The sequence below is a fragment of the Homo sapiens genome, chromosome 13, assembly GCF_000001405.40.
Source record: "Homo sapiens chromosome 13, GRCh38.p14 Primary Assembly".
Classification (NCBI taxonomy): domain Eukaryota; kingdom Metazoa; phylum Chordata; class Mammalia; order Primates; family Hominidae; genus Homo; species Homo sapiens.
Window position 1 is genome coordinate 27,764,753 of NC_000013.11, and position 10,130 is coordinate 27,774,882.

A 10,130-nucleotide genomic window follows, 5' to 3' on the forward strand; every position below is an offset into this window, starting at 1 on the left:
AAATTCTTCCGGAGGGAACCAGCTGAATAAATGTTATGTTCTAATTAGATAATGGGAATCCACACTGTTTCTAAAGTTAGGTAAATTTATATGCACAGATATAGAAAGGTGTCTAAGATGGAGATATACAGACACATTCACGTTTAGTTACATATGTAGAAAGCAAAAAAAGGAAAAAAAAGATTGAATAGATATCGACCATTGTATTAGTTTCCTGTTACTGCTGTAACAAATTACTACAAACTCAGTCACTTAAAACAACACACATCTACTCTCTTTCAGGTCTGGAGGTCAGAAGTCAAGGTGTCGGCTGGGCTGGTGGCTCATGCCTGTAATCCCAACACTTTGGGAGGCTAAGGCGGGTGGATCACTTGAGATCAGGAGTTCAAGACCAGCCTGTCCAACATGGTGAAACTCCGTCTCTACTTAAAGTGTAAAAATTAGCCGGGCGTGGTGGTGGGTGCCTGTAATCCCAGCTAATCGGGAGGCTGCGGTATGAGAATCCCTGGAACCCGAGAGGCAGAGGTTGCAGTGAGCTGAGATCGTGCCACTGGACTCCAGCCTGGGTGTCGGCGTGAGACCCTGTCTCAGAAAAAAAAAAAAAAAAAAATTCAAGGCGTCAGCATGGCTGGTTCCTCCTGGAGGCTCTGGGGAAAATCCATTTCCTCGCTTTTTCCAGCTTTTAGAGGCCCCTGCATTCCTTGGATCCTTCTTCCCACTATTCCAACTTTTTTGCTTCCTTGGTTGCTTCTCCTGCTACCGACCCTGACCCACCTGCTGCTTTCTCATAAGGACCCTTGCAATTACATTGAATCCGCCTGAATAATCCAGAACAATCTCCCCATCATAAGATTCTCAACTCGATCATATCCGCAGTGTCCCTTTTACCACGTTAAGGTAACATATTCGCAGGAATTAGGACATGGACATCTTTGCGGGGTCATCGTTCAACCCACCACAACCATTAACGGCGCTTTTCTCTAGGAAGTGGGATTGGGACTGTAACTATCATGTCTGGAGGGGCACAAAGGCACAAGCCATTAGGAAGAAAATAAGGTTGCCATTAACCAATCAAAACACACGTGACATCCAGAGGATGGCGCCAAACATATCCCGGGCTTCCCTTCAGGCTATACATACAGCTTATTGCAAATGGACGTTTGGCAGTCCCTCCTCTCCTTGAACCCCCTACCTCTGACCTCCTCCACACAAGTTCCCCTGATCCCTACCACTTCTCTGCCCATCCAAATTCTGCCATCTCAAAAGTTGTTCTGGTCTTCATTCTGAATCTGCTAAAACTGACCACTTTTCAAAGCATAACTTTGATATGTTATACTAAATTTACTATGACTAACAGGAAGGAAAGAAAGGGGAAAAGGAGGGGAAAAGAACATTACAATTAATCCTTCCATGCAGGGGATTTTCACTGTGTTTTACATTTGTCTTTTGTTTCTTATGTTTTTTGTTTTTGAGACCAAGAGTCTCGCTCTGTCACCCATACTGAAGTGCAATGGTGCAGTCTTGGCTCACTGCAACCTCTGCCTCCCAGGTTCAAGCGATTCTCCTGCCTCAGCCTCTCGACTAGCTGGGACTACAGGCACATGCCACCACACCTGGCTAATTTTTCTATTTTTAGTACAGACAAGGTTTCACTATGTTGGCCAGGCTGGTCTCAAACTCCTGACCTCGTGATCCACCAGCCTTAGCCTCCCAAAGTGCTGGGATTACAGGTGTAAGCCGCTGCACCTGGCCTATAATTTTTTTATAAAAGGTTTTAGTGCAAATGATAGTAGTAAAGAACACTTGCAATAAAATTAACACTCTTTCAAATCTAAAGGATTAATATCTGTAATAAGTAAAGAAGAAAAATAATTACCAATAAACACACAAAAATATTCAATCACTGTAGTAGTCAAAGAAATCCAGGCTGGGCATGGTGGCACACATCTGTAATCCCAGTACTTTGGGAGGCTGAGGTGGGAGGATCTCTTAAGCCCAGGAGTTTGAGAGCCTGGGCAACATAGTGAGAGACTCCATCTCTACAAAAAAATTTTACAAATTAGCCAAGTGTAGTGGCATTTCCTGTAGTCCCAGTGACTGGGGGAGCTGAGATGGGATCACTTGAGCCTGGGAGGTCACTGGAGGCTGCGGTGAGCCATGATCATGCCACTGCACTCACATTTGGGCAACAGAGTGAGACCCTGTCTCAAAAAGCAAAACAAAACAAAACAAAGAAATTCAATACCTGACAATAGTAAGATACACTCTTTAGCTGTTAAACAGTATAAATATCAGGACAGATTAAGCAAACAGGCAAGCATACAGAGCTGGTGGGAATTAAATCACTATAAGCTTCTGAAAAGGAATACATATTAAATGACTCAAAATGTATGTATGCATTCACCTAGAAATTCCATTTCTATGAATATTATTCTTAAAAAAATCATTATAAATTCCAAGAGTTAGAGCCAAGGTGGTTCATTGAAGCCATGTTTGTAATAGTAAAAATACTATTTTTTACTATTACAGTGGACAGTCCTGTCTGTTCAGGCTGCTATAACAAAATATGATAAACTGGGTAGTTTATAGACAGTACAATTTATTTCTCACAATTATGGAGGCTGGGAAGTCCCAGATCCGGGCACTAAGAGATTCTGTGTCTGGTGAAGGCCGTTTTCTGATTCATAGACGACACCTTCTTGCTGTGTCCTCACATGGTGGAAGGGGTGAATGAGCTCCCTTGGGCTTAATTTATAAGGCTCTAATCTCATTTGTGAGGTCTCTGCTTTCATGATCTAATAAATTTTCAAAAGGCTCCACCTTCTAGTACATCATTTTGGGGGCTATGATTCCAACATATGTATTTTGGGGAACACAAACATTCAAACCATAGCAAATCTATATGCCAAAAGACAGGGAATTGGTTAAATCATTTATGGTACATCTATACAATGGAATATTAACCAGACATTAAAGTGATGTTGTAGAAGTATATTTAATTATATGGAACAAACTCTTAAAAAAAGGTTATAAAAGCGTGTGTGTGTGTATGCGCACAAGGGCTAGAAAGATACAAACTCTCTCTCTCTCTCTCTCTCTCTCTCTCTATATATATATATATATATATATATAGGGTTTTTTGTTTTTGTTTTTGTTTGAGAAGGAGTTTTGCTCTTGTTGCCCAGACTGGGATGCAATGGCGCCATCTCGGCTCACCGCAATCTCTGCCTCCCAGGTCCAAGCGATTCTTCCGCCTCAGCTTCCCAAGTAGCTGGGATTACAGGCATGTGCCACGACGCCCAGCCAATTTTGTATTTTTATTAGAGACGGGGTTTCTCCATGTTGGTCAGGCTGGTCTTGAACTCCCAACCTCAGGTGGTCCGCCCACCTCGGCCTCTTAAAGTGCTGGGATTACAGGTGTGAGCCACCATGCCCGGCCTGGAAACAATATTTTTAATGGGAGTTTCCTTTAAGAATGAAACTGGGGATTGGGAGTGGTGGGCAAATTAACTGTAACTTTACTGTATTATTTGAATTTTTCTAATAAGAATGTATTTATGAATCTATTATTAAAATAATTAAGACAATGAAAGAAAACAAAAATATCCTTATAGTGTAATTCCACTTGTTTGAAAATATTTGAAGAAAAAATGTGGATAATTTGTCTTTTTCCTTATTTATATATTGCAATTTCCTAGCCTACTTTTTTCTACTCTATATTTTTTAATTTTTCTACTCTTTATCTACTCTATTATTTTTTATATCTATATTTATATCTACTCTATTATTTTTTATTTTTCTGCTCTATTTAATACTTCCAGCAATTTAAAAATATTTTTAAAAGGCTCAGTTTGTCATATCTCCTGTGAAGCACGAAGTACATATGTATTCTAACATCTACCACTTTCCACTGGGTGATGCCTGAGGAATTATGTAGCTGCTTAAGGACAGAGATGGTCTTATTCATTTTGAGGGGGCAGAGATGGGGGTCTCACTATGTTGTCCAGGCTGGTCTTGAACTCCTGGCCTCAAGTGAACCTTGCACCTCAGCCTTCCAAAATGCTGGGATTACAGGTGTGAGCCACCATGCACAGATGTCTTATTCATTTGTGACTTTCAGGGCTTAGATGTCAGTACCTGATATCTAGTAGGTACATGATGCCTATTTTTGAAAGAAAGAGTAAGAAGCACCAAGTACATATGTAGTCTAACATCCATCACTTTCCATTGGGATGAGGTATTATAGAAGGAATAATGTACCAGCTTAAGGACAGAGATTCATTTATTCGTCTTTGAATCCTTAGGGCTTAGGACAGTATCTGACACTTAGTAGGTACAAGATGCCTATTTTGACAGAAAAAGTAAGAAGAACCAGGGGGTAGAAAGGGTGGAGAGAAGAGTCCATATCCTGTCCCCTTCCAGCAGCATAAGGTCCAATCAGGGGGTCTTAGGTGAGTGATGAGAAGTTTCTAGCCCTCAGCCTCCTTATCTGCATAATGTGAAGAACAGCACTAATGTGATGAGGTTGTTGTGAGGATTACAAAAGCCCCTGTCTAGTAGACACTCATTGAGTGTGTAAGTGGTGGTGAGGTGGGTCATGAAGGCAATTTAATAATGATCTGGCACCAAAGTCCAAGAGAGAGAGTGAGGAGCTCCTTCCAGCCTCTTTTGCAAGGGTAAGTCTGGGAAATGTGATTTCTTGTGCAGCAAGGAATGACTCTACCAACAGAGCAGTTGAAGAAACCATCATGATGGAATCATTTTAGGGGTCTCACCCTCAAAGGTAGTCAGAGGCTGAAACCATCTCTGTTGACTGAACATTTCAAGGTAATCTTGATCTTAGACCTGCCTGGCATCCCCTAGTTGACTCTTCTGATGATTATTTCGAAACTATTCTCAGCCACACTCATCAAGTCAGAGGCTGGAAAGTGGGGGTGGGTCAGAAAAAAAAAATCCTGCTTGAGCTTTCCCTTAATGATACCTGTTGTTTCCTTTGGACAGTTGATGTCAAATACGGGTTCTCTGAAATTTAGAGTCTAAAATGCTATCGGCAGGTCCTTTTCCAACAGGGAATCATATCCCAAATTCTCCTCACTGTGTAACAACGAGGAAGTGAGACCAACAAGTTCTGAATTTACCAAAGGACTAGCACTATGATATGAACAGAAAAAAGTAGCCTTTAGGTACTAATTTTTTGTAGACAATGGCCCTTGCTTCAACCTTGTGGCTCCTTTATGAAGAAAACTAACTTCACACAGTGGGGCTGGCTCAACAGAGGCTAGAACGGCCAGATGCCCTTTCTCCCTGCCTCACAGATCCTGCAGATCCCAAGCTGGCATCTGTCCCCATCTGTTCTCAGACCAAAGGCCATCCAAAGATGTGTTGGGGACTTTGGACTTGTTGGGGCAGAACTGAGACGCCCCCAGTTTTGAAGGTGGTGGGTGGGGGACCTGTGTAGAGTGAACCACAAGGCAAGGGGCCTTCCATTTCATGCTGAGAACTCTTGTGTGTGATCACTGCAGGTGGGTTCCTAATAGAGATGACATCTGATTGGAATACGAAATACCTATTTTATGGAAGCTCTCAAGGCAGTGCAGCTCTGAGAGAAGGGCTTAGGATTCTACCATTTTAGCCACAGGAACATGCTATGTGGAACCCCTTTCCTACCCCATCTGTCAGGGAGCGAGTTCAGATGCCAGGAGCTGCCAGACTGAGTGGGAAAGTGAGTCAGGGGCATTCGTCTCACTTGGACCCCCACACCCATTCAAGGGGGGCTGAACCTGGGTCAGCTCCCTGGGTGGGTGCAGGTTCCTGACCAGGAGCGCTTTAAACAAACCATCAAAATGGAAAATTGCTCCCCGTTTATATGGATTAAACTTTTAAACTGTGGCCATGTGGCCAGGGACTAGAAGATGTGGCACTCTCCTCTCCATGACTGTGTGTTGGAGCTCGAGTGGCCCACCAGGCTGGCCCTGAGCTCTGCCATCCTGCAAATGATACCATGAATACCACTTATTATTTTCAGACATCTATGGAGCATTTACTATCTGTCAGTTGTGGCCCAAGAATCTTATAAGCATCATCTCATTTTATCAGTCAATAGATATTGATTGAGAGCTTGTTCATGCCAGCCACTGGCATCTAATTCTCAGAACAAACAGGTGAGGTGAAAATGATTCCTCCCATTTTACCAACCATGAAACTGAGGTGGCTTGGAGAGAGGTTAACTGATTTGCTCAATGTCCCACAGCCAGTAGGTGGCAGAGCTGCGATTCAAACAATGTCTGTCTCTCTTCAAGGCTGTGCTTGTAAGCACTTACCTACCCCTCTCACAGAATCTTTGCTCATGGACTAGGGAAAGACTGTACAGGCATGTCCAAACACGAGCTGCTCCACCCCCGAGAGATGAGACCAGGAGTCAGGGAGGAGAGAATCACAGGGCCAGTCCTAACTCACTTTGACCTGGCAAATGGCTTCCCAAAAACCTCAGAGAATTTTTATTTGATGGACAAGATCAGCATTGGTTCTCCCTACGTTTACCAACATCACCCACTTTCCAAACATCCTTTCTTCTTCCGATCTTGGTGCCACCTGGTTGAGAGTATTGCCCAATATTCTTGTAAGTCTCAGGCCCAGCCACATTCTGGGTCCGCCTCTCCCACTCCCCAACGGCACATGGCATCTGGAGTTGTCTTTGCTGCCCTCTCTGTAACTGATGAGCCCTGGGGAGATGAGGAGGACCCAAGACCCTGTTAATCTGCGCGTCTCCTCCCACCTCACACCTTGGCCAGCTCAGTCCCTGGGGCCAGGTTTCCACCTTGCTTTCCTGGGTATAGTCAGATAGCTCTGCTGGTACTGGAAGCCGTCTGTGGCTTACCTCCCAATTAATCAGCTCTTGTCAGGGGTCTTAGTCCTCCCCCAGTGTCTTCAGCTGCCGGTGGGGGAATCTTGCTCCAGATCTGATGGGCTGCTTGGAATCATCACATTTCCACCTACCCAACTTAGTATCCACTGGCCTCTCTTTCCAAGGTGTTTGGAAAAAAAGAATAAAATCACCAGAGGGGTAAGCTATGCAATTCACACATGGTAGATGCAGATAGAGACCTGGAAACCTCAGTGGATCCCAGGCCTGCAGAACCCATGCCAACCTGATTAATGTGAATTTTAACTTAAGAAAGAAAAGGCCAATGAGAAGACATGTGGGTTTACAATAAAAGGTCAGAGAAAGAAAAGTCCCAAGACAAATGCTGGCAGTGCCCATCCAATCTCTGTCTAGGAATAGCGCAATTTGATCAAGAACTTGATCCAGCCATGGCCTTGTAGTAAGGTTATCTCCTAGCAAAAAGTTTGTCTCTGTCCATCTTAGCCTACTACCATTGTTAACCCATCTAACCAACTTCCTGTGCTCCTATCCCAAGCTTGCTAAATAACTTTCTAATTGGAATACTGATAATTCTGACAAATCTGCTTTTTGCATAGCTTATCTAATGTGAAACCATGTGTGTTTATCTGGTCAACTGGACCACTACCTTCTCATTGTAAATTAGCTAGTTTTATGCATCAGCCTGTCGTGATCTTGTTAAGATGAGTCAGAACGCCCCTAGGTTTGATTAACTCTGAAGGAAAATAAAATTTCTGATTCTTCAAAGCAGAAGACCAGCTACATCCTGGTCACGGGTAGACTCACTTTGGTGGCGATTGCCTTGTAGAAGTTGGTCAGCCTTCCCATCTGTGAGCTTGTTCCACTCCCGTCACAAACCTGGACCCTTTAAAGACCACTAGCCATTGGTTCCAGCCCAAAAGGTCCCCCAGAGCCCTTGGCCATGGTGACTGGGCTGCTGGCCACCCTAAAATGGATTTGCCTGCACGTCTCAGGACGTCACCGACCTGGTGCAGGGGTCACCGACCAGGGCAAAGTGTATCTGTTGAACCCAGACAGGGTCCTCTCTGAGCACTGGTGCAGCTACTGAGGGTCTTTCCAGGCCCAGCCCTCAGGCTTCCTCATCGGGGGTCCTGTCATGAATTATGAACAGTCAGTCCCTCATGGAACAAATAATAATCCTGGAACTACACAGTGGTTCAGAGACTCTGCTTACTAAGCATTTTCACGTCCTTTCATCTGAGTTTTGTAACAACCCCATGTGAAAGGCTGGTAAGTATTTTTAGCTTTGCTTTAGGCTTAGGGAAGATAAACGACTTGCTCAAGGTCACACTGGTAATAAGTGTCAGGACATGCTCCTGACCACATATCTGAACAACTGTAACCCCAGGTTTCTTCACCACAGCAGAGCAGCTGCTCACCCCAGGCGGCCTATGAGAAGGGTGTGAGAGCATCACTGGGTCAGCCCCAAAGGCTTGGCAGCCCCTCAGAACAAACTACAGACACATGTGGTTGCTGCGGGTGCACCAAGGGACCCAGCTCTGTCAACGGCTCCGCGCTGCACCCCCAGCTGATGCGGGAGCTTACTTGCTTCTGTCCGCCACCCACAGACACTCCTGTAAACACATTATCTCCAAGATTTCCTTCAGACAGAATTTTGTATTCAGGCAAGGCTTCCTTGGGCTTCATTTAGCTTGAGCGTCTGGGGCACCCGTGGGGCACCGAGACCTGAGGATAACAATGCTTCCAACAAGCAAAGTGATGATCACTGATTCCACCCAACCCAAGGACAGAACAAAGGAAGATGGCCAGGAACACAGCAAAGCAGCTTTCCAGTCACCCTTCACACATCAAGATCCACAAATACACAAGTGGCCAACCACTACGTTTCCACTTCCAGTCTCTCCCTCCCTCAGACCTGCAGCCCTTTCACCTTCTCCTAAACCACCACCCCTGCAACCCCACGCCACCTGCAACCTGGATGTTCTCATGGGACAGTACAGGCCTCGAGAGATTTTCTCCGGTGATTTGCAGTGAACAAAGAGCTTTCACCTGCAGAAACAGGTGACTGCTAGAAGTCACCTAGTGTGACTTGTGAGTGCCACAATAGCCCTGGAGGAGCTCATTTGCAGAGGAGAGAACTGAGGCTGGAAAACTGGGCCAGGGACAGAGGGCCAGATTCTGCAAACAAGGAGAAAGGGCAGGAAGTGGCAAAACTGGGAAGGGAAAGGAAGGGAACAGAAGAGCAGCCCAGTTCTAAATCACCAGCCAACACGTGCACAGTGGTCCCTGTGTCACGTCACAGCCACTGTACTGTGACTAAATGGAGGAGGGGCACCAGCGTTGTGGGGCCTTGGGGCCTGGCCAGTCCTGAGGTGCTGGAAGGGAGCAGGTGCTGACCTCATGCTGCTGATGCCAGGGTTCCAATCCAGGAGTTTTTCTATTTTGTCCTGGGGAGTCCTCCCAACAGTCCAATCAGAGGAGTATAAGATGCCCATCTTGAAGATAAGGAAACCAAGGCTCAGAGAAATTGCTCAGGGCCACACATGCATAAGTGGCTGGGAAAACACAGATCCAGCCATCTTTCCCAAAGTGCAGGCTGTTTCTGCTCCATGCCTCGATCACAGCCCGCCCCTCAGCCCGAGATGCCTTTCGCATCGTCCACCCAAACACCTTCTCATTGCTTGAGTCTTAGCTCAAGAATCACCTCCCCCAAGAAGCTTCTCACATCCTCTTTTGGCCCCCACAGTCCCATGTGAGGACTGTCTGCCTTTCTTTCTTACACGCATGCAAGCCTCCATGTCGGCAGAGATGGTGTCCTACTCAACTCTGCCTTACCTCGGCTTCTAGCACAATGCCAAGTGGCTGGCTGGTGAGTGAGTGAATGAATGATGAAGGCAGTTGTGTGTGAATCTAAGCCTCCCAGCTCTAGCTCCCCTGCTAGTACCACGGTCCCTCCAGCCCCACCTCTTCCCAGTGAGTCTCAAGCACCTGCACCTGGCAGTCCCTTGGAGGAAACAGCTGCCTCTTCATGGCCCTTGCTTCTGAAGGACACCCCATCCCCACCCCATGCCAGATAACTAGGCCTCGGATGATCTGGACTTAGATGGTCTGGCCTAGAGTGGAGGAACTTTTTGGTCCCCAAGGCTAGCTTCATGCTTGCAACTTCAAGTTTTCTCTTTTAAGGGGCTCAGTGGAAACCATAGCTGCACCAGTGGATGTGGAAGTGAAAGCATTCAGGGCTGTATTT

At 45.6% G+C, this 10,130-nt stretch overlaps 1 annotated feature.

Annotated features, from left to right (window-relative positions):
* Positions 9,750 to 9,799: an enhancer, noted in NCBI's record as "active region_7509". NCBI's record gives its function as "activates an Ori minimal core promoter by ATAC-STARR-seq in GM12878 lymphoblastoid cells {active_cell/tissue: GM12878}" and the evidence as "EXISTENCE:reporter gene assay evidence [ECO:0000049][PMID:35858748]".